The sequence below is a fragment of the Homo sapiens genome, chromosome 16, assembly GCF_000001405.40.
Source record: "Homo sapiens chromosome 16, GRCh38.p14 Primary Assembly".
Taxonomy (NCBI): Eukaryota; Metazoa; Chordata; class Mammalia; order Primates; family Hominidae; genus Homo; species Homo sapiens.
Genome location: NC_000016.10, coordinates 54,981,234 through 55,006,555, shown reverse-complemented (window position 1 = coordinate 55,006,555; position 25,322 = coordinate 54,981,234). Strand labels below are relative to the sequence as shown.

Sequence of the window (25,322 nt, the reverse complement as noted above, 5' to 3'; positions counted from 1 at the left end):
GCTACTCTTGGGGGCTTTGGCCTACAAAACGAAGTCTCCTCATAAGCCCCTGACCTGTTTGGATAGACCACAGGGAGGGGCAGATTTTTAAAAAATCTTTATTTGTTTAAAGCTGTTTCAAGGACACAGCAAAATGCAGACAGATCTCATCTCTTGCCTACCTTTCCCCATACACAGCCTCCCCCATCATAAATATCTGTTTTTGCCATCATTAAAAATAATAATGGCATTAAAAATAACGGCAAAAACTGCAATTACTTTTGTACCAACCTAACAAATATATATAACATAAAATTTACCATGTAAACAATTTCTAAGTGTGCAATTCTGTAGTATTAAGTGTTTTCACAATGTTGCACTACCAATCTCCGGAATTTTTTCATATTATTATCATTATTATTTTTTTGAGATGGAGCCTTGCTCTGTCACCCAGGCTGGAGTGCAGTGGCACTATCTCAGCTCACTGCAAGCTCCTTCTCCTGGGTTCACGCCATTCTCCTGCCTCAGCCTCCCAAGTAGCTGGAACTACAGCTTAAACAACAACACACCATCTCCCCTTTCCCCAGGCCCTGGTAACCCCCATTCCACTGTCTGTCTCTATGAATTTGATTACTCTAAACACCTGATATAATTGGAATCAGACAGTATTTGTCTTTTTGTGACTGGCTTATTTCACTTAGCATATCGTCTTCACTGTTCATCCATGCTCTAGCATATGTCAAGATTTCCTTCCTTTAGAAGGCTGAATAATATTCCATTGTATGGATAGACCATGTTTTGCTTATCCATTCACCTGGCAATGGTCACTTGTGTTGCTTCCACCTCTTGGCTACTGTGAATAACACTGCTATGAGCATGGGTGTACAAAGATCTCTTTGAGTCCTCACTTTCAATTCCATTGAATATACATCCAGAAGTGAAATTTCTGGATCATATAGTTATTCTATTTTTAATATTTTAAGAAATACCTGCCTGCATCTTAAGTTAAACTAGTCAACATAAAAACACAGGCACTTTACTATTCTGTACATTGTACCGTATGTAGCAGAAGTTAAAAATTTGCGTCTGCTACGTACAGTGCGATTCCAACTCTATGACATCTGAAGAAAACTAAACTATAGAGACAATGAAAAGATCAGTGGTTTCCAGGGATTTGGGGGAAAAGAGGGATGAATAGAGGCAGCATGGGGAGGTTGTAGGGCAGTGAAACTACTCCGTGTGATACTATAATGGTAGTCACATGTCATTACACATTTGTCCAGTCCCATAGAACGTACAACACCAGGAGTGAACACCCTCAGCATTGCCAACCAGGGACTGTATGAGCTGAGGTTCACATTTACTTCAGGAACCAATTGCATGGGCTGGAAAATTGTCACCAGTCAGAATAAGCCACTATTTCAAAAGTCTCTCAAACTCTGGACTTTGAGCAACAATGATGTGTCAATGTAGGTTCACCCATTGTAACAAATGTCACCACGCTGGTGGGAGGTATCCATAATGGGGGAGGCTGTGTATGGGGAAAGGTAGGCAAGAGATGAGATCTCTCTGTATTTTGCTGTGTCTTTGAAACAGCTTTAAAGAAATAAAGATTAAAAAAAATACTGCCCCTCCCTGTGATCTATCCAAACAGGCCAGGGGCTTATGAGGAGACTTTGTTTTGTAGGCTGAAGCCCCCAAGAGCAGCTAGTGTCAGGAAATAGGAAGAACAATTAGCAAACAATGGTTAATGTCTACGTTTACAGGCCCAGCGATCAAAGTCATCATTAGCTGCTTTAGACAGCACTGAGTGGTAACATCTGTATATGAAGATCAGGACAGGGAAGTTTCATTTGGAATTCAAACATGATCCTGTGAATTTACAAACCTCTTCGTGAGCACAAAGGACTTGCATAAAAGTAGAATGGCTTTAACAACCAGCAAACAAACAACACACACACACACACACAAAAACCTTGTCAAATCAGCGTCGCCCAAGGTTTCTCCACTTGGGCGCTAGTGACTTTTTGCACCAGATCATTCTTTGCTGTGCACGGCTGCCCTCTTCATTATAGAAGGTCCAGCAGCATCCCTGGCCTCTCCCCGTTAATGCCAGCAGCACCTTCCCCCAGTTGTGACAACCAAAAATGTCTCCTAACATTGCACATGTCCCCTGGGGGTGGTGGTGCAGAATCCTCCCCTGGTTGAAAACCAGTGTTGTGGCGAGAGCACCATTTACACTTGACCATCGTTGCTATTTAGACTGGATGGTCAGGGGACAGTAAAACCGTACGCATTTGAGCTAATGCCAACTTGGGATTACGAGGTCAGGAATGTCTGGAGAAAGAACTGAAAGAGCAACGTGCGGGTCCCGGGGGGAAGGACTTCGCTGAAGTTGCCTCTTGTGCTGGCTTTGAACATGGACATGTTGGTCAAAGCCTGTACACAAGACTGCAGGGGGCAGATTCGGCCTTCAGAACAAAACCAGTTTTCCAGAAGCTTGGCGGGCAACTTGTGCAGCGATGTGCTAATTATCAACTATTATGAGTTATTCTTCATTGCTCATTAAAGTGGGTCTTCGCCCACAGCCTCTGTTGCTCTGTGTGTGAATAAGCCTATATTTTGGAAGCTTTTTAAAGAAGGACGTCCATTTCCATACCCGTAACAGAGGCAACCGCACCTCAGGAATAGGGCTGTCTCCAGGGCGGGCTGCAGAGAAATGTGAAATCGCTTCTGCCTGCTGTATTGCCTGGCCCCAGCATCGAGGGTGTTGGCTTGGGTGAGAGGGGCAAAGGCAGCCCTCTTAACTTCCATCAATCCATCTTCCAGGGACCCACCTGGCCTCAGCATATGCGTTAAGTGAAGAGGAGTAGTGTTCTCAGAGGAGCCAAGCTATTCCCATTTCTGGGCTGTGTTTTCAGCATTAAGAAATCTATACAGCTGCTCAAATGAATTACCAAGTTTAGCTGCAGCAGGTCCCAGGTCTGCCATGAGGCCCAGCTTGGTCTGTTCTGTGCAGAAGGGCAGCCTGTCCCTCCCTTCCTCAGATCCCTGTGCCACTGAGCATCCAGAGCCAGAGGCCCAGGGCTGGGCCACCACCCTCTGATGATAATATCCCCTCAGGTGTTTGTCATACAACAGACACCAGGTCCACTGAGCATTGCCAGCTGGGGACTGTATGAAGAGGTTCACACTCACTTCAGGAACCAATTGGATGGGCTGGAAAATGGTCCCCGGTTAGAATAAACCACTACTTAGAAAGTCGTTGAGAGAGGAAGGGCACTCTCTTCCGGGAGACCCAGGACAGAGGAGTAGAGACTTTGGAGCTGGGAAGGACAGAGTTAAACCCTGCAGGGGGCCTTTATTAAGCCAAGGGAAGACCCAAGGCTTAAGGGCACAGACTTTAAAACCAGGCACGGCCACTCTGGGACTTTGCAGAGGTCACTTCACCTCTTCACACCTCAGATTCTTCACCTGTTAATGAGGCTGATGACAGACCCTATCCCACAGGATCCTGTGAGGAGTAAGTAAGTTTACATATGGAAAACACTAGAATACTCCCTGGCACTCAGGAAGCACCATGTCAATCATTCTTGTTGCAATGTAGCTTCCAGCAAGTCATTGGAAGCTCTCTGAACCTCAGTTTCCCATGATGTAAGGTAGAAACAATAATGCCTTCTGAAGAGGGAAGATTTATAAATAAGAAAACATATCCGATGTGTTGTGTATAATGCCTGGAACATAGCAGACATTTGATAATTGGCAGGAGTTATTTTTATGTTATTGACAACATCATGTCCCTGGCTTCTAATTCTTCTACCTTCTAATTGTGTTGTTTCCGCTCACTCTTCAGCCCTGGAGGAGCTGGGGGATGCTTTCAGCTCATAATTACTCCTTTCAGTAAAAAGTCCTGTGCACTAGGATGTGCGTCTGTCAGATCAGTACGTTGAGTGAGTCGAGAGAATGATGTCACTTCCTGCTCTCTCCTTGCCATTTACCTATCCGGTGACAATTTTCATAGAAAGCAATTATGGCCACTGAGCAGATCATTAGAGAATGGCTCCCTGTTACTCTTCCAGCTATGCAAATGTTGCAGCTACTCTCTCATCCCTGAGCATAGTAAGTTATCAGGATACAATCAAGCTCATTGCTGAGACAATGATAATTCCTCCTAATCAATACCGAGAGGTTCTCAGCTACTCTTTATGAGAGCCTTGTCAAATGCTGCAACGACGGTAGTGTATTTCAGTCCCTAACTTCCTTGGCTGGTACTTAATCCCTTTGAGTCTCAGTTTTCTTAAAGAAGCACTAATAATATAAGATTCCCTAATACTCTGTTAGGACTTTCAGGAGCAAAACCAAAACACAGAGTATGGCCCTTCTGCTATGAATCAGAGGAAAATGAGCTGATTCTGCTATGAATCAGAGGAATTCAAGGGACATGGGTTCTTGCCCAGGCTGTGTGACCCAGGACTTGTATTGCATGTCTGTAAAATAGGCATTACACACATGAATCCGTTGTTTGTGTTTCTAGCTATTTATACTCTGCCTGCTCCCAAAAAGGATTTGAGACAGCTTGTAATCAGATGCTGTGAAAATAGACATGGAAAATCAAAGACCATGAGGAAGGAGAAGGAAGAGGCAAATATACCAGCCACATGGACTAACATAGTTTCTGTGGTTAATTTGACCCTTTTTGCCTTGGATCCCAGGAAGCTCAGAGCTAAATTTATTATTCCGGAGTTACACAATCTGGACAATTACCTGTTCAAAGAAAATTCACTCTTACCAGTTATTCAAGAGAGACCAACTTTGCCCAAAATTAAACTCTGAAAATAATCAACAAAGGTACCAAACCTCAGAAGAATTCACTATAAATATTAGTTTTGACATTGACTCACTTAGTAACTATTTATTGAGCAAGATGTCAGGCATTGAAAATGAAAATATGGGATGAACAAAGCTAACAAAGCACCTGCCCTCATGAAATGTATTCTAGTGGAGGAAAACATGCAAGATAGAATAAACAACGCCAAGTAATAAATAAAAGATGAGATATTAAGTCCATCTTTGAAAATGATGGGATGGGGTGGGGAGGGGCGAGGCTATATCAGAAGGTCAAGAAAGCATTTTCATGAAATTAACATTTGAGCCGAGAGCTGAACAGCAGGAAAACTTTTTGGCAACATCTGGGAGAGGACAATATTCCAGGCAGAGGGAACGGAAAGTGCAAGTGTCCTCCGGCATTGGGGAGAACTTGGCACTTTGGAGGAAATGGAGGAAGGGCAGAAAAGGATGAGAAATGAGGCAGCGATGGTTATCAGATGAGAGATAAATAGAAGCCGGGTTACAGAGGCCACAGTTCTCACCCTGTACCATGTGTTAGAATCACCTGCTCATTCCAGTCCCATCCCTGGAGATTCTGATGTAATTGGTCTAGGGTGGGACCCAGACTATAGCATGTATCAAAAGGTCCCCAATTGACCCTATAGAGCACTGGGGTGAGGATCAGTGTGAAACAGCCTCATAGACCATCGTGAGGTGTTAGAAGTTTCTTCCCAGCGTGTTGAGAATCCACAGGAGGAGTTTTGAAGTTTTTTCTGCTGCTGGGTGGAGAATAGATCTAAATAGGGCAAAAGCAGAAAAAAGAAGCAGGGTCACCCCTAGGTACATGGGATCCTAAGCAAATATTCTTTCAGGGCCCCTGTCTAGATAAACAATTTGAGTCACTCCAAATCGATGAGTCAGCACCTTTCAAGCAGCCCAAACTCACAGGCTCCTGTGAAAGAAATACCGCAGTGGCCAGCATGAGTGATCTGTTTGCCAAGCCACCCTCTTGGAACTGTTGCCACACCATGAGCCCTAGCACGACCCCATAGGCATGAGTCTTGAAGTTCTGTGGGGCATCTGTTCTACCCCAGTGAGCGATGGGCAAGGGCAGAGTTAGAGAGCACCTCAAGGGAGAGAAATGGAGATAGGTATCCAAGTTCCTATCTGGATTCAGGATGTCCTGGGCCACTACTGGCCCTTGCTGGTCCCAGGCACTAAGAGGACTTAGACTAAGAAATTGTCAAGAAAGTAACTCAAAAGCACAAGGTCCACTATTGCCCAGGTCCCAGAACAGGTCTAAGAGTGGCCCTGGTAGGGAGAACAGGTCATCAGGGTAAGGTGATGGCAGCTTGGATGACAGTAAAGGCAGAGAATGGAGAAAAGTGGATTGATCCAGTGATCCAGGATTCTGATCCATGAGCAGAATTTATGACAACGATAGCCATCCGGGCTGTTGACAGACATAGGTTTTCTTGTTTAGGGGCACATGGTGGGATGACGCTGCTTTGCCCAGTTGAACTTGTGCATGGCCATGTGAGTAGCTTTGGCCAATGAAATGTGCCAGAAATTTTGAGATAGCCCCTGGTGCACCATGCTTTCCTCTCTACCTCGAGGAGGTGGCACCTCCGTGAGAGGGCCCTAGGATAGCTCTGTTAAATAGACACATCCCTAGAGCACGGGACATGCTGCGTAAGGGAAAATTCAACTTTGTTTCTGGAAGCGTCAGATATTCAGGGATGGGGATTGATTTATTACTGCAGCATAACCAAGTCTATCCTGAGTAATGCAGTGAATCTCACTGGCCCAGGCTGGAGTTTCATCCACAGTTTTCTCTTATCCTTGGCCCACTGGGGGGCCTTCTCGGCCTCATCTACTGTGGCAGGACCCCAGCCCATTGGAGAGCCATTTTCTGGGCCTTGGATGGTCCCTGGAATGAAAACAGTCCAGTAGAGAGCATGTGCGTGACCATTACCCTGCAGGCTGGCCAGACTGGGCACCCGCGCCCCCACCCTGGCTGTGGGCTCATTAGATGAAAGTGCTATCACCTGTCAGACAAACTGCTAGAACTGTGATAAATTAATGATCAAATGGTACAGTCGGCGCAGCTACTGTACTGCCTCGGCTAGTTACAAGCCGGTTGGGTGCTTAAAAAATGCAGCCGGCATTAAAAAAAAATCAGGCGTTAAAGGAAAATGTCACCCAGCTTTTCAAAAAGGATCTGTTTTAAAATGACCACAGACGGCTCGGTTGCAGAGTCTTTATTTGATTCCTGTTCTTTGTATTTTGTTTTATTGCTCACAAGGAAGGAAGGGGGGAGGGCATGGAGTGGGGAGAGGGCAGAAGGAAGGTTGGAATTTCTATTTTCACCAGCCTCCATCTGTGCAGCGTGTTGGGCAGGAGATGTAGCCCTTCTTGACAAACATGGGGAGAGTGATTCTTCCCAGGGCCTGGCTGGAATTAACAGTAATTACTATATAAGTAAGGGTATAATCATTATAGGCTTTTTTGTACAAAGACCTTTATTCTTATTTCACTTACTCATAATGACATCTCTCTTAAATGAATAGCAATATCCCCATTTGTCAGATAAGAAAACTGTTACTCAGAAAGTTATCATGGTTAACATTCTTTGAGTGCTTGACTATATATACATCACACGAACTGTCCCCTACAATTGCTACAATAGGTCTGGGTGGATACTAATATGACCTCCCTTTTAGAGGAGAGAAAAGATAGGATCAGAGAGGTTGAGCCACTTGTCCACAGTCACACAGCTAATAAGTGGTAAAGGGAGGGTTTGCACAGTGGTTTCTGACTCCTGGGACCCTGGAATCTTATCCCTGAGGGCCTATGGGGATAATTGCAAAAACAAGGCAGGAAAAAGGCTGCCCTTGACTTAAAAGTCCAGCCCAAACCTGATGAGGGTTCTCATTACATAAATGCATAGGTTCCCTCTGTGAGTGCATCAGCCCCACCTGGCCCTTCCACCGATGGCTTTATGAGCTTAATTTATTCTTTTTAATATAAAATCTCATTACCTGAACATGATACCACCACTTCTACTTTATCTTTGATATAAGAACAGAGAGAAACCTAAATCAAACCTTTAAATAAAGTCTATAATCATGCTGCACTTTCACTTGCTTTTCAAATTTCTAAACAAAATTAAGTGGAAATACCTTTGAGGAGAGTCGTGTGGAAGGAGAAGGGGGTGTATGAGGAGAGATGGCAGGGGGGACCCCTGAATGTCGCTTCCTGGGCAGCCACGGGGGATGCGATTACTCTCCTGCCTGATCCTCGGCTCCTGCTATTTTCTGGCTCCCTGACCCAGGTTTGGAGAGGGAATCAAATGAAGTCCGCCCCAAACCTGTGTGTGCTTGGAATTGATCTCAAAAAGCCATTTGCCTCACCTTGTATTTTTCAAGGCATTTCCTATCCAGCCTTAATTTTCATAAAGGGGAAATTGATGATCAGTTTAAAGAAACACAGTTAAGGGTTTGGAGTCCCCAGGAGCCTGAGGTGGGCAGGTCAAGGTCTAGGGGGTTCTTGGCAAGCAGAGGGTGGCAGAAGGCTTTTGGGAGAAGCGGTCCCTTCCTCGCCTTGGGGCATGGGTCTGTATGGGCAAAGACGGGGCTTGTTGCCCAGCTGGGGAAGGTAATTCCTAAAAGAGCCATGGTCTAAGCTTCTGACAGTTGTGGAAGGAAAGGGGCAGTGAGTCCCACAGAGTTTATGAAAGCCACTTGGACAGACCAGGAGGATGTTTGGGGATTATCTGGTCCTTGGAAGAGGCGGGGCTTTCCCTTCAGGAGACCACCTGGTCCAATAGACTCACTGTAGTGGGAAGTGAACTGAGCCCCCAAAACTTCAGCCACTTACTTGTTTGAGGTTGCAGAAATTTCACCAGTGTTGGTCAGAAGAGTGGGAAAATGCCACAGAGAAGAATGTGGTGTGGACGAGGGCTTGCCTGAGTGTCAGCAGGCAGAGGTTGGAATTTCAGCTCTGCTCCTCACCAGTCAGGTAACCTTGGGCAAGGCATGTCAGTGCTTTGGGGCTCCCTCAGTTTCCCCATCTGTGCAATGGGGATAAACACTCTCCACTTCACAGCGCCATACACAGAAAATTAAAATAAACTATGGGAAAGTGCCCAGCCCTGTGCCTACTCACAGGGTAAGTAATGAGTGTATCAAAGCTGCACACGAAGAGCTGAGTCCATCCTTTCCTTTCTTCAGCACATCACTTATCTCAGGAATTAGCTGATCTCTCCTCCTCCAGGAAGCCTTCTGTGATTGTTGGTAATGGATCTGAAACATCCATGGTTTCACTTTCTTTAGCCCTTAGGTAAAAAGCACCATAGCATCGTCACAGTGTGAATGGGGCAAGCAGATTCTGGTGGCAGCCGGCCTGCGTCCAAGCCGTGACTCTGTATGTCCTCACGTATGACCTTGGAAAAGTCACATAACCTCTGTTGCCCCGGCTGGTCTCATACTCCTGGCCTCAAGTGATCCTCCCACTTCAGCCTCCCAAAATGAGATTCCAGACATGAGCCACTGCACCTGGCAATATTTTCAGTATTACTACCACCACCTCTCAAAGCACCTATGATGTCTTTGGCTGTTTGTGTGTGCATGCGTGTATATGTGCTGGGTTTTTTTTTATAGCAGATGTTTGCATTGGGGTACAACATACAAACAAAAATGGGAACATAGCAGAAGCATACAGCTCCAAGAATTTTCACAAAGAGAACACACCTGTGTACCTACCTTCCAGACCAAGACATGGAGCACCTCAACCCCTCAGTAGATCCCCTTGTTCCCTTTGCCAGGAAGCAGCAGTTTCCTGCAGGACAAAACTAGAATAAATGGAACCCTGGAAGATACCAATAGGATGGCCAATGTTACAACAAATACTTGAGCACACGGGGTAGATGGCAAAGGCTGTGAGGGCTGTAACGAAAGCCTTCACTGATATTCTATCGGGAACAGACCCTGCAGACCTAGGCTCTGTCATTAACTGGCTGTGAGGCTACAGATAAATCCCTTCTCCTCTCCGGACCTCAGTTTCCACTTCTGCACAAAGAAGAAGTTGATGGGCTAAACTCACATGGCTCTAAGGATATATTTGCTTAAATATTGGTTGAATGCCTGCTATGTGGTTGATGCTATTCTAGGCATTTGCGGTAAACAAAACAGATACTCATCCTTGTCCTTGTGAATTCTATATTTCACCAGGAGGCAATGGACAATAAATAGTAGGCATAATGAATAAGTAAATTACATCTGATTCCTTGATTCTCGGGGAGTGTCCCAGCTAGAAGATAAATTGCAGCCACCTGACACAGTTGCCTTCCCTCTCCCGTCCCCCTTGGTCTGTGTCATGCCAGGAAACATATGGCTTCAAAACTGATTTTCCTGAATCCCGTTCCTGGGAGTGTGAGCGTCAGAGTATCTCCCTAAGGGAATGAAGGTGCCGAGAGAGATTTTCCCATCTACGTCATTTTTTCCAATTTGTCCAAATGAGGATGAAATATTTCAGACACAAAAGGAAGAGTAAGAGAAATGAACAACTCCTGGCTTATAAGATAGAGTTGAAGCTCTTTGTGCCCCTTCCTGATTGCAAGGAGGGATGATTTCTCCTGATAAGGAGCTCTCCCCACCCCACGCCTTATGCTGTGTGGATTTGGAGAAACCAATTCCCCTATCCCCACACACCTGCCATTTCCCTGAAAATGAGCACTTTGCCTTAGGGGTCCCCAGCTTTCTGCCCAGAGAAAGATCTCAACAAATGCACAGAGGCCTCAGAGAACAATCTCTCCTCCAGAATGAAAATCCCACCTCCTACTTCTCCCACAGGTAAGAGGCAGTGAAAACAGGCTGAGCTGGGCAGATGTGGGCCCTTGCTCTGGCCCAGTCTGCAGAAAAAAGCAGGTAAGTGGCTGGTGGGGTGGCGGAGGTGAGCTGGGGAGACCAGAGAAAGGCTGATCTTAAATACCTTAGAAAGGAGCCAGCTGAGGGAAAATGGTCCTTGAGTGATAGGATCGGAGTGATATTCCCAATATTCAGTGAGTGCTTTGCACAGGCCCCGGCAGGCTTTCTGGAGCGTGATCTGTGTGGCCCATGTTGGGTCAGACTTTCCCCTTTTCATGCTCAATTGTGGGAAATCTGAGGGTTCTAAAGAGGGCCTGGGGCCTCAGGATGGGAAAGTACTCAAGGGGGTCCAGATAGCAGCTATTTGCCAAGTGGTTGAATGTATTTTAATACTTTAACAACCAATGGGACCTGGGTTAGGATGGCAGAACGAGACATGAGCCATAATGGCAAAGGGTTAACAATGTCTTTGGAGAAAAAACTTCAATGCAGGGCACATACCTGAGTACAGAAACGTTTACCCATTCCTGAGTTTTGAGGATCCAGCTTTATTCAGAGAACAGGGAAAAGGCAATTTTCCCTGTATCAGAAGCCATTTCAGGTACGGAGAGAGCACTGGTTATACAAGGTCTGTTAGTGGGCTGCCTACAATCCACACAAACAGATTTGCTGGAGACATGGAATGTTTTCTTTTCAAAACTGTCAGTTAGTTGCAATATTTCCAAATGGGGAAATTTTACATAAAAAACCTGAACTCCCAGTTTCTCTTAGAAAATCAGCCAGGTCAAGTGGCTCACACCTGCAACCCCAGCGCTTTAGGAGGTCAAGGTGGAGGATTGTTTGAGGCCAGGAGTTCAAGACCAGCTTGGGCAACATAGTGAGACCCTGTGTCTGCAAAAAAAAAAAAAAAGAAAGAAAAAAGAAATTGCTGGGTGTGGGGATGCATGCCTGTAATCCTAGGTACTAACAAGGCTGAGGCAGAAGGATCACTTGAGCCCAGGAGTTCAAGGATGCAATGAGCCATGATCATGCTACTGCACTCCAGCCTGGGCAACAGAGCAAGACCCTGTCTCTAAAAAAAAAAAAAAAAAAAAAGAAAATCAGAAGATAAGGCTCAGAGTGGGCCCTGCACCATGGCTGGAGCATTGTGGGGGCTGCTTCCTCCAACAGTGTGTGCCCCCAGTCTCCCTCCACAGCCCGTGTCACTTGTTTGTGTTTCCTGCCCAGCCCTGAGCTCACTACCCCCTGAGAAAATGGCAAGAACAGAGGATCTGAATCTAGAAGATCTGGGTCAGTGACTTAATCCTGCTCTTTCCAAGCTCATATAACTTCTTGGAATTTCAGTTACTCCATCTGTAAAATGCCAGTCATAATAATGTCTTTTTTAAGAGTAGTTGTGGCCAGGCATGGTGGCTCATGCCTGTAATCCCAGGACTTTGGGAGGCCAAGGCAGGCAGATCATTTGAGGTCAGGAGTTCGAGATCAGCCTGACCAACATGATGAAGCCCCGTCTCTACTAAAACTACATAAAATTAGCCAGGTGTGCTGCTGCACACCTATAGTCTCAGCTACTAGGGAAGCTGAGCCAGAAGAATCACTTGAACCTGGGAGGTGAAGGCTGCAGTGAGCCAAGATTGTACTACTGCACTCCAGCCTGGGTGACAGAGCAAGGCTTCATCTCAAAAAAAAAAAAAAAAAAAACACACAAACAAAAAAGTTGTGAGGATCAAGTAAAATTGTACAAATCAGCCAGGCATGGTGGCTCATGCTGTAATCCCAGCACTTTGGGAGGCCGAGACAGGAGGATTGCCTGAGGTCAGGAGTTCGAGACCAGCCTGGCCAACATGGTGAAATCTTGAGTCTACTAAAAATACAAAAAATTAGCCAGGCATGGTGGCATGCACCTGTAATCCCAGCTCCTCCAGAGACTGAGGCCAGAAAATTGCTTGAACCCAGGAGGCGGAGGCTACAGTGAGCTGAGATCACACCACTGCACTTCAGCCTGGGTGATAGAGTGAGACTCCATCTCAAAAAAAAAAAAAAAGTACAAATTATTGAACAGCAGGATCATAAAGAACAGGGTCATCAGAATCAGTTGCTTCTAAATCTAAATCTTGGATTTGCCACTGTCAGATTGCATGGCTTTGGATAAATCCCTTAACCTTGCCATGCCTCATTTTTCTCATCTGTAAAATGGGTGTGATAGAAAATCAACCAATAGGCTGTCCTGGGGAAAATGTGGGTTAATACCTGTGAAGTGCTTACTGTGGTGCCATATTGTAGGTGCTCAATAAAGGTGCACTATTAATATTATTACTATTATTATTATATAACTGGCTCTTTTGTGCAGCCAAAGCTTATTCCCTAGATCTGAACAGGAAATCTAGCTGTGGAATATCACAGTAACAATTTCTTTCTTTTTACCTAGAATATTATCCTGAAGGAGAATAAATCTTAAAATGGAAAAGTAAGATGTAAAATAATTTTGGTGTCAGTGAAATAAAATCCAGTCAATTAATGATAATTATCACATTCAATGAGACTCTCTGGGAGTACTCCCTATACAATTCCCAGAAACGCCTCAGGACTCAGAAAACGCACTGGTGTGTATCACTGGTGTAATCACTCTTCAGTCATCCTTTAAGTATCTTTCTGGGACTCCTGCTATAAGCAGACTAGACTATGGAGCAATGATATTGAAGACAAAAACAAAGGAAGTTTAAATCATAAACCTTAGAAATCTTTAGCAAGTGCTAGAGTTGTGCTGGAAAGTTGCTTAGTCTGTGCTTGGAACTGCTGTCTTATGTTGAACCAGGAACCTGAGGATGCTCCTCGAATTCTGCAACAAAAGCTGACTCTCTCCTGCCCAGAAGCAATCTGGGGCGCTTAATAGCCCACCTTGGATAGGAATAAAATGAACAGGATGACAAATGCAGGTCAGGCAGCCTTGGAACTTGCCAGGGACTGAAACCAATCAAATGCTTTACTCTGTGAAGAAAATTTCACTCCCTTGTGTACGATGCCTCCTCCCGCATTTGCGCCTGTGCACCCCATGGGCAGGACCCACGGTGGGTGCCTCTGAAGTCCAGCCAGTGGGCTCTCAGTCTTCACTTGTTTAGCACTCACTGCAAAAACCTGCCATCCCGAGCAGCATGAAACATTATCATTTTTTGCCCTGGGACAGAAAAGCACAGATTTGAAACTGCTCTAGGAGATCCAAATAGAGAATATTTAAAATACCAAAGGAACGAGAAATGGGGTCTGGGGCATCTGTTTAATTTGCCTTATTGGTGGCAGCAACAGAAAGAATCTTCTGAGAACTCTGGGCAGAAAAACCAGGAAGCAGAGGGTGGTTCAGGGAGCAACAGTGCCGTGGCATGAGGCAGGATTGAGAAGGTGGTAAAGAGCAGTCAGCTCAGAGCCTTCTGATGGAACCACAACCTAAGCCATGTAGGTTCACAAACTCCGAAGTGCATACACTCGGATTCTTGTTAAAAGGCATATTCTCGGCCAGGCACGGTGGCTCATGCCTGTAATCCCAACATTTTGGGAGGCTGAGATAGGAGGATCACTTGAAGCCAGGAATTCAAGACCAGCCTGGCCAACATGGCAAGACCCCATCTCTACAAAAAATACAAAAAAATTAGCCGGATGTGGAGGCACATGTCTGTAATTACAGCTACTCAACAGGCTGAGGCACGAGAATCACTTGAACACAGGAAGCGGAGGTTGCAGTGAGCTGAGATTATACCACTGCACTCCAGCCTGGACAACAGAGCGAGACCCTGTCTCAAAAAAAGAGAAAAAAGAAAAAGTCAGATTTTGGCTTCACACAGTGGCTTATTCCAGTAATCCCAGCACTTTGGGAAGCCAAGGAAGGAGGATCACTTGGGCTAGGAGTTCAAGACCAGCCTGGGCAACACAGTGAGATCAACACCTCTTTGGATGGTGAACATTTCTGCTTCCAGGTTTTAATTAGGGTGACTCTTCCTCCAGGGAGCCTTCCCTGACTGTGATGGTTAATATTAAGCATTAATTTGACTGGGTCATCGAGTGCCCAGATAGTTGATCAATATTACCGTTATTACTTCAGGTATGTCTGTGAAGGTGTTTTTGGATGAGCTTAACATTTGATCTGTTCACTGAATAGAGCAGAGTGCCCTTTCTAATACAGATGGGCCTCATCCAATCAGGTGAAGGCTTGAATACAACGAAAGGGCTGACCTTCCTGAAAGTAAAAGGAAACTCCTCCTGCCTGACTGCCTTCAACCTAGAACATTGCTTCTTTTTTTCCCACCTTTGGATTTGAACTGAAACACTGGCTGTCCTGGTTCTCAGGCCTTGGGACTCAGACTGAAACTACTCCATGGCTCTCCTGGGACCCCAGGTTGCCAATTAAAGACCTTTAGACTTCTCAGCCTCCCTAATTGTGTGGACCAATTCCTTATAATAATATCTTTCCATGTACATATATACCCTATTGATTCTGTTTCTCTGGAGACCCTGACTCACCTAAGAAGAGACTCTGACTCACCCAAGAATTTCTTTCTCATTTCTGTTGTTCTTATATTTTATCTTATACAGAGATTTCATCTTATTCCAGCAAAATACCTTATTTTTACTTAATAGTGAACTGTCCAATAAGGTATCTGCTAGCCATGTGTGGCTATTGAGTACCTGAAATAAGGCAAGTCTGGACTGAGATGTATTGTGAGGAGAAATATACATGGCATTTTCAATATTTGGTATAAAACAATGTAAAAAATCTCTTTAATAATGTATTATATTGATTACCTGTTGAAACCATAATAATTCTGAGCTATTTGGTTAAATCAAATACAATAGTAAAATTATTTATTAAAATACAGTATTACAATTATTTAGCCGGGCATGATGGTGTGTGCCTGTAGTCCCAGTTACTCAGGAGGCTGAGGCAGGAGAATCACTTGAACCCAGGGGGCGGAGGTTGCACCGGGAGCTGAGATTGGACCACTGCACTCCAGCCTGGGCAACAGAGCAAGACTCCATCTCCAAAAAAATTAAAACAAATAAATTAAATTAAATTAATTTTACCTGTTTCTTTTTTCCTTTCTAATGTAATTACTAAAATTATTAAATTATGTATGTGCCTTGCATGTATATTTTTACTAGCCAGTACTGCTTTTGAATAAGGCACAATTACCAAAGAGACTTCCAAGCTCCAGAAATTGAATTCCTTCAATATATCTTCATAATAAAATATATCTTAGTGCACTAGAGTAGGGGTTGGTGAACTACAGCCCGTAGGCCAAATCCAGCCAGCCATTTGCTTTTGTAAATAAAGTTTTTATTGAAACAGAGCCATGCCTATTCATTAACGTATTGTCTATGGCTGCCTTGGTGCCACAACAGCAGAGACCATGTAGCCTGCAAAGCTTAAAATATTTACCATCTGGTCCTTTATTAAAAAGTTTGTCAATCCTTGGTCTGGGGTGTAAAGGTTAAGACTGCAGCTCCGGGAGGCAGAAAGGCTGATGCTGGTTCCACGGCTTATGATAAGGTGGCTTTGGTTGGCCATGTTACTGCAGATCTCTGTGTCTCAGTCTCCTCATATGTAAAATGGGGTCATTATAATAATTACTTCATAGAGTTGCTTTAATCATTAAGTGAGATGATGTATTTCAAGTGCCGGTACCCAGCCTAAATGCCCATCAGTCAACAAGTGGATAAAAAAATTGTAATATATAAATACCATAGAATACTACTCAGCCCTAAAAAGGAAGAAAATAACGGCATTTGCAGCAACCTGGATGGAATTAGGGACCATTATTCTAAGTGAAGTAACTCGGGAATGGGAAATGAAACATCGTATGTTCTCACTCATAAGTGGGAGCTAACCTATGAGGTTGCAAAGGTGAAAGAATGATATAATGGACTTTAGGGACTAGGGAGAAAGACTGGGAGGGGGATGAGGGAAAAAAAACTTCACATTGGGTACAGCGTACACTGCTCAGGTGATGGGTGCACCAAAATCTCAGAAATCACCACTAAAGAACTTATTCATGCAACCAAACATCACTTGTTCCCCAAAAACCTATTGAAATTTTTTTAAAAAGTAAAGCAATGGATTTTTTAAAAAGTGCCTGGTACCTAAGTAATAACAAATTACTACATGCATTTATTTGTCTGTTTGATGTTTGTTTGTTTTGCTGATTCGGGGGCCCTGCCCTTGAGTCTCTGGTGGTCCTTGCAGGGCTCACTTTCTGTAAGGTATTTGTCTGTTTTTCCCACTGTCTCCTCAACAGACCTTGCACTCCCTAAAAGCAGAAGAATCTATGTCTTTAGCCCCGGGGTCTGCAATGTGCAGCATCAGGGGCAGGCAGTGCCGTCCGGCTCCCTCTGGTCATTTCCTCACTGCTCTGACTCCGTGGACAGCTGAGAGGGACCTTCTTCAAGGACAGGAGGTGAGAATGTGGGGAACATCAAGTCCACCCCTGCACTGATGTCTCCTCAGTGGTCTCCCCATTCGGATCTGGGGGTTCTGAGGCCCTGAGGAGGTGTCAGAGACAGCCTTTCTATGCAGTGCTTTACTGAACCTGTTGTATTGAGTGGTTTCTACTCCAGCTCCTTGCAGGGCGTCTCTGAGTCAGCGAGACGCCCAGAGCGGGCGTCCAGATGTAACGGAAACATATTTTTATCCCCTATTGATCTCTCTTGCCCGGAAACCATCATTACGCCGGTGTAGAAAGGCAGCTCCCAATGGCAGGAGCCTCTTGGCCTCTCTGGCCGATGGGTGCCCAGCAAATTGCTCCAAGCCACCAGGCAGAGAAACCAAAATAACTTCACGAGACAGGCGTTCCGGGCCCGACCCTGCTGGGGCTCTTGGAAAAAGGCTAATTTTTACTCTTTCTAACATTATCCACAGCTTTTCTTGTCTTGGCTTTTTTGAAACAAAGATGAAGTTAGTCTCTAATTGATCTCTGTCTGCAGTTCTCGGCTCTGCCTGGCAGCGGGGCAGAGGTGAGGGGCCTTGGCCAAGGTCAGGCCTGGGGATGCTTATCCACGTGGAGACGTGGCTGCCCGGGGCTCTGGGCTCACAAAAGAATAACAGGGACAGCCTTGCACCAAAGGAAACTTGGGCCAGGGGAAGGTGAGGTTTTATCCCCATCCAAGTTACAGCCATCCAGCCAAACTCCCTCTCACCTAATAGCCCAGAAATAAATCCCTGTTGTTTGGGGTGGACAGATGAACAAGCTCAATTCCTAAGCACCCAGCACTGTCTGTGGTGTGGAGGGCAGTGGGGAAGATGCCCAGACTCCCTAAGCTATAATGCAGGGAACACCAGCTTATAAACAGACAGTGCAGGTCCAGGCCCTAGTGTGCTGGTCAGTGTGTAACAACCGGCTTTCTGGGGAGAGGGGAGGAAGCTCTTACTGGGGCATTTGCTGATTCCCGTGGTGTAAATATCACCAGTGTGACCTGTTTCAAGGCACCAATGTGATTGCATTCAGAGTTGGGAAAAGATGGGAATGGCTGACCGATCAGCTCTCATAAGCCGTCCAGTGCCACCTCCAGCTCCCCAGTGGCTTCAGCTCTTCTGCTTGCTGCTCTGTGACCTGGGACAAGTAACTTAACTTCTCTGTGCAGCAGTTCCTCAAGCATAAAATGGGGGAAATAATAGCACCTACCTCTTCAGATTATCATATGATTTAAATGATATATACCTAGAAAACACCTAATGCTATCCCTGGTACATAATGGGCACTCAGTAAATGTTGAGTTCAGTTATTATTTCTATAATGATTGTTATAATTAAGCTCATAGCTGAGTTGGTAGAGCCACACTCATGTACACATAGGTACATACATACGTTCTCACTTACAAGACAGTGAATCACTCACTTGTGAAAGGTCCGGCAAGGAGAGGTAAGCATTGAGTAGAGCAGTCCTGGGAGGCTTCCTGGAGGAGGTAGGGTCTGGCTCTGGGGCTTGGATGATGGGGCTGCACAGGCTTGAATAAAGGGTCATAAAGGAGGAAGAATTAGAGAGCACAGGCAGAGAGCTAGGAATGGATGTTGAACACTAGCACAGGCTAAGCAGGACTGAGAGACTTCTTTGGCTTCTCAGATGCAAATGTAGGCGGATTTGGAGGGGGTGATAGAAGGGGAAAAGAAGTGGGCAAAAGGTTGGGGGCCAGGAAGCAGAGAGAGGGACACATGAAGGCTCAGAGATGGTCAACAGGGGTTAGGGGCTGAGAGTTCTGCACAGAGAGCTGCGCACAACCACCATGGCCGTGGCCTTACTAATGCACGGGGCTGGAGGGTTTTGGGCTGAGATGTGGGCCGAGCCTCAGTGGGGCTCCCAGCAGCATAGCTCAGAATAGAAGTCCAGGCCATGCGGAGTCCAGCATAGGATGCCCAGGCCTTTTGGGGTTCTTCTGGCCAGTGGCTGGCAGTTTAGCAACATCCTGGAGAATTGGCCCCAGCAGCAAGTACTGTGCCCCTTAAGATGCGGAGTTTTCAGCAGCGCCTCTCTCCACTCCTGCCACCCCAGCCCAGCCGGGCCGCCCTGACTCGGGTAATTGCAAGCAATAATTATTGAGTGTACACAAAGGCCTGGCTTGTTTTCTCGTGCGGGTGGGGGCCGGGGTAGCTTTGTTTGGGCCAGGAATTGTCGTGGGGCCTCTGTTTAGCCAGTGCTGTCTCCTCTTTGTTAACATTCCTCACTAACCGTGGCTCCTCCCGGGCTGGAGAAGAGGAAGAAAAGGCGGTACCCATGCCCACCAGCCACGGCGGCCCCCCCTTCCCTCTCTGCAAGCCCCTGGGAACCTTTGGCCCTGCTCCCTTCTCCCCAGACCCACTGGGGACAGAAACATGGGGCAGGCGGCGGACAGGCCCAGAAATAAATAACCCAGCTCACCTGGCAGGTGCAAGACCCGCAGCTCAGGCAATTGCCTTAAACATGGGGCTTTTCCCGTTACCCATGTTGGGCTGAAAACAGTCATTAGGTGTCACCTTCTATGGCAGCCTTCTCTCTTTTTGGGAGCAGAGGGAATAATTACACACCTGGGCTTCTCACTACCTTGCACGGCTCCTAGGACAAATGCTACCTAGGTCCTCTCGGTACTGGGAGCCCATTCCCACCCGCCACTTACACGGCCTACAAATGAATGTTTTCGCCTGTCTTCGGTTCACATAAATAGCCACAAATTCCTATAATTAACTACAGTAAGCTAGGCTGGGATTAAAACAAAGACGGGCTTGTTTACTGGGATGTTCTGAAACAAGCAATTTTGAACATTACAGTGTGAACTGCTGTCTTTGTCTTTGTTAAGCAAGGCAGCAGGAGGGGGTGCGGAATGAATGGTGAGGGGCCTCAGCTGGGAGTTGGGAAGGGGTGGGAGACTGCTTCCAATGTTTCAGCCAAAAACCTTTTGTCTGTGGGTCATCAGGCCTCTTGAAGACCGCAAGATCTACTTAACCTCTCACAGGGGACAGTAAAACCAGGCATAGCCAAGAAAGCACCCCTTTCTCTTCCCAGGTAAGGGATTTTAGGGCAACGGAAGGCTTCCTCCTTCATTCCCGGCAAAAGTGTCTCCTTCCATCCACTTTGCAAAATTCTGAAATTTCCACCATCAGGTTTTAAAGTGCAATAAGATTTCAGAGATCATTTGGCCTCGGCCCTATTTTTTCTCAGACAGGGAAACTGAGTCCCAGAGAGGCTAAAGAAGCTAAGCTCAAAGTCACTCCGTGAACTGACCACCAAGAAGGACTCAAATCCAGGTTTTCCGACTACGACGGGGGTCAGAAAACTGGGGCCCACGGCCAGTCCTGCCTGCTGTCTGTTTATTTATAGCCAGTGGGCTGAGAATGGATTTCAAATTCCTAAATGATTGGGGAAAAAATTAAAAGAAGAGTAATACTTCTGGCACGTGAAAACCACATGAAATTTAAGTGTCCATAAAAAGTGTTTGGTTGGAACACAGCCACTCATATATTGTCTAAGGTTGCCTTTGTGCCACAACAGCAGGTTGAGTAGTTACCAGAGACCGTCTAGCATGCAAAGCCCAAAATATCCACTGTCTGACCTTTTGCAGAAGAGGTTTGCCAATCCCTATTCTAGTAGTATGCTGCTGTGTTGCTCTATTTAAAAATAAAATATAAACAGTTTTTTTCCCCACAAGTTTGTTTTTTATTTACTGAGATTCTGTCTTCAAACACAATCTTGGGGAGACCGTGTGTGTGAAACTCATCAAAGGGAAACTGTTCTGCTGACGCAGAGTGGGAGTGGGGTGAGTGAGGACCCCGAGGAGTCTGTGGATTCCCCAGATACGAGCGTCTGAAACCCCTGGTGAAAGTAGCATCTCCTGCAGACACAGCCTTAAAACCCTGTGTCCCAGAACTTGTGACCCTAGCCAGACCCGTGCAGAAGATCACGGAAGTACAGATGCATGTTCCCATTGGCAAGATCAGGAGGCCAAGGATCAAAGGTGTGGAAGGGATTCTAGAATCCAGGTCCCTTGACTCTCGGAGAAGCCCAGCAGGCCAGGGTGGGCCGTACAGGCCGCGAGCTGAGGTTGCAGTTCTCACAGGCACAGTGTCCTCTGTCTGCAGCCTGGGCTCTTGAAGAACACTCTCCACTGCCCAACCCCTTATATATGTATTTATTAATCTCGATGATTCGCCTTAATAGCACTGCCTTAAAGGCAACTTGGCACGTGGTGGGGTGACAAAACTCATAAAAAGTCAAGAAGGCATTTAACAGCCACCCAGTGCTGGGTGAGGAGGGCTCCTGGCTACAGCCTGCCAGCCCCAGGCAGGGCCCAGGGCTCCAGCAGGCTGGGCCTGTGTCACAGCAGTGGAGAGGCAGGGAGTGGGAGAGAGAGAGGCCAAGAGGGGTGGGTGCACTGTGAAAGCTGAGGAAATCAGGAGATTCTACTCCGAATGACCTTAGGAGAGTCACTTAGCCTCTCTGCACCTCTGTTGCTAGCTCTGAAAAATAAGGATGAGATGGGATGATCACAGTACGACCAGGAAAAGCAAAGGAGGTGACAGGGTAATGCACTAATGCACATACGTAGCAACCCTTCCAGAGATGTGGGGGCACTGCTGCTGGTGACGTGAACAGAAGTGGGAGGAGGAAATTCTCATCTGGCTAAGGGAAGGTCCATACAACTAAACTTCAGCATTCTCCTTAGACAACAGGCTGTTCATGCAGACTTTGAGCAGGGCCTCTGGGGCCAGGCTGCCTAGGTTCAAATCCAAGCTCTCATCTTTAGGGGTCAGGGTATTAGACCAAGTCACCTTATTTCTCAGAGTGTCAGTTTCATCATCAATAAGATGGCAATAGTAACCAGAATTACCTGTTAGTTACATAAATCAAGCCATTAGAAAGTGCTTTGTTCATTGTTATTAAACAGGGACTATCCCTGCTGTCCCAGGCTGTCATGAGGACACAGGGTAGTCTCTAAAGTCGGTAGATAGAGGGGCACATGGGAAAGGCTGTTCTTCCTGGTGTTTGGGGGCTGGTTTGGGGAGTCTGGCGCTGTCGGGGACCTTGTTTCTTTCTTCTCCTTCTCTGCTTCTGGCTTTCCACTGCATGGCGGAAGCCGAGGAGACATTCCTTCCTTATATTGTGGAAAGAAGAGACAGACAGTACCGCAATAAATTAATGTGTTCAAAGGTGATAGATACCATGAAGAAGAATAAGGCGGGTTAGGGGAATAGTGGACTGGGCGGCAGAGGGGGCAAAGGGGAGGCTGAGAATGGTGATCAGAAAGGTCATATTTGAATCTAGGTTCAGGACTGGCCAGATCTACTGGGCACTGTGGTTTTCTTCCTCACTGAATTATGTTGAATTTCCTGAGCTCCAGGCATTAGTCTAGGTGCTGAGGACCAGGCTGGGATCAAATAGACCAGCTCCCTGCCTGGCAGGAGAGACAAGAAATAAATGTGCAAACAGACAAGTAATGTCACATCGAGCAGTGACCAGTGCTATGGAGGAAAAAGAAGCAGGTGACAGGCCAGTTGCCGGACACTGTTTTAGCCAGAGTGGTCAGTGACGGTCTCCCTGAAGAGGTGTTGGTGAGCATAGGCTCTGACCCTCAGGCTCCCAGTCTGTAGGACCCCTGTAACACTCTCTGATCAGTCTGTCCACTTGGCCGCTGCCTTCTGGGGGAGTCCAAACTCCAAGGCATCCCTCGCAAGCGCAGGAACCTGGCTCCTCAGAACCAGCACTGCCATCAGCCTCAAGGAGTGCTATTTTTTTTTTAATTCGGGCCAAAGGTACAATTAACAGCCTCCGCCTGGGTCTCACCCAGCCCCAGGGCCTCTGCTCACGCCTGCCTGACTGGCAGGAGGGAAGGGGCCCTCCCAGTACCCCCTCAGTCAACTGCCAGGGCTATTTTGGTGACTGTTATTTGGGCAAGGAGTGGGCTAGTGGCTTGTGGGAGGGAGGGAAGGGGGGAAGATGCTAAAAATACTGAGGCCAGACTGAGGTAACTGGCCTCTACCCTCTCACGGGCCTGGCCTCCTCCGTGGGTAAGCAGAGCCTGTTCCTTGGTCTCTCCTGGGGACTGGCTGCTGAGGGTTCAAACGCACCCAGGAGCCCTTTTCTTCTGGCTAATTTGAGTCATGACCACCATTAGTTGGGAGGCCCCAGGGGCTAAGTGACCAGCACTGGTCACACAGCCATAAGTGGAGCGAAGACCAACCTGGTCAGAGTGATGTCCTGCTGAGGATACAGCTTGGAAGAAATCAGTGTGATGATGTCACTTCTCTAGGCCCCTTGCAGCAAGGGGACCCCAAGGGCCCTTCTCCGCACATCTAAATCCCACAGCCCAAGGCCACCTCCCGTCAGGACTCTGAAGCGAGGACGCCAGTGGGCTGTGTGCTCCCTGCTCTATTTTTTTATCTGCTAAGTGAGAATCCATGCGGGAGCTTGGCTCAGGGGACCAAGAGCAAGAGGGCTGCTAGGAACCTCACCTCAGTCACACCTTGATCTTGGGTGATCTCTGACACATCACCCACTCCCTGGGCCTCAGAACTTCTGCCCTGACCGCCCTGCGGACAGCTGTCTGGGTGACTCCCTGACTTCTACCAGTGTGAGCTCTGAATGAACAGGATCCGTGGGTCACATGACCTGGAGGTCAAGGTTTACTGCATGACGGACTCGCCTCTACCCTGGGAGATGGTACACCTTGTGGGAGGGAACCTGAAGGGCCCTTGATATTAAGGCTAAGTAATTCCCTCCATTCATTCATTCATTTGCTGTTTGGTTCATTCATTCCCCATCTCTTGGTGAGCACCATTTATAAAGGCATTGTTCTAGGCACTAGGATTACAATGATGTACAAACCAAAGCCCCATGCCCTCGTGGATCTTACGTTGTAGAAGGAAGTGACAGACAGTACACCAATAAATTAATCAATATGTTAAAAGATGATGGATGTCATGAAGAAGAATAAGGTAGATTAGGGGAATAGTGGCCGGGATGGCGGGCTGGGGGGTGGAGGGCGGGGCTGAGAATGGCCATCAGAAAGGTCATATTTGAACCTAGGTTCAAAGTCCAGCTGTAATCTTAAGGGGCCAGGAGATTTGACCAAGTCACTTTACAACTAGGCCAAATGAAGAGAGAGTGTGAACCATTTAAATACTTGGGGAAGAGCATTTGGGGAGAGAGTGTGAAGCAGGCAACAGGAAAGACCTCCCCACCTTTTCCAAATCTTCTCCTGTTTCTGCAGGTCCCGCAGGCAGAGGCAGACCTTGAAACCTCTCTTGCCCATTACAGCACCGCTGATGCCCTTGACTCCACAATGCCTACCCGCTAACTGGAGCTCACCACACCTGCCCCCGGCTCTAGGGAAGGGGCTTCCTAGGCCTCCTCGGGCTGGGCTGCTATTGCCCTGGAGCGGTCCTCTCTCCCCTCCGAGCCCCCGGTGACCTTCACCCTACAATTACCATCCTCTGCCCAGGGCTATTTCCTGCAGACTTGTAAATAGAACCTCTTTCAGCTCCACACACATTATGGTTTGTCTAAAACGGTGTCAAAGGAGCCAATTTTCCTGAACGGAGACCATTGACGAGAGGTAAAGTTTACAGAGGATTCCCGCAGGACCTGGGCCTGCAGGAGTCAAAAACAAGGGTCTAGAGGTGACGCAACCGCCCAGAATAGCCAGCTTGAATAGTGGGGCAGGTCCTGGACTTTTCTAGGGGTAGATTTTCTCTGCGACATAGAAATAAATAAGATGGTTGAGCCACAACCTGACCGACCTTATCAGGGATCCCAGCCCAGGCTCGGGAGTCCCAACTTGGGAGGGAGAGGGCCTGGGTTTTAGGCCTGGCTCTGCCGTTCTCTGTTCCTCTGTCTGAGTCTGAATCACTCTGTGAGCAAATACCAATGCCACTTGATGTGTGGGCTATGGCAAGTCTCAGCCATCTTGCAGAAGTGAGTGAGCTTTCTTATCAGAGAGAGGAAAGAGGCACAGATGGTAAGATGGTTCTGAGACCTCTGCACACTTTCCACACCAACCACTGGTGACTGCCTAGGAGGCTGCAGGCCCATATGATGAGTGTGGCTGGCAAACACACCTCTTGTGGGCAGAAGCAGCCACAGGCATGGGGCCTGGTGGAAAGGGAGGGAGGCTGGACTGTGGCCCCCTGTGAGGTTAGGG

The 25,322-nt window shown here is 46.9% G+C and overlaps 2 annotated features.

Annotated features, from left to right (window-relative positions):
• Nucleotides 18,526-19,389: an enhancer, noted in NCBI's record as "H3K4me1 hESC enhancer chr16:55021079-55021942 (GRCh37/hg19 assembly coordinates)". NCBI's record gives its function as "activates a minimal SCP1, AML or CMV promoter by ChIP-STARR-seq in naive H9 embryonic stem cells {active_cell/tissue: H9 hESC(naive)}" and the evidence as "EXISTENCE:reporter gene assay evidence [ECO:0000049][PMID:30033119]".
• Nucleotides 19,390-20,253: an enhancer, noted in NCBI's record as "NANOG-H3K4me1 hESC enhancer chr16:55020215-55021078 (GRCh37/hg19 assembly coordinates)". NCBI's record gives its function as "activates a minimal SCP1, AML or CMV promoter by ChIP-STARR-seq in naive H9 embryonic stem cells {active_cell/tissue: H9 hESC(naive)}" and the evidence as "EXISTENCE:reporter gene assay evidence [ECO:0000049][PMID:30033119]".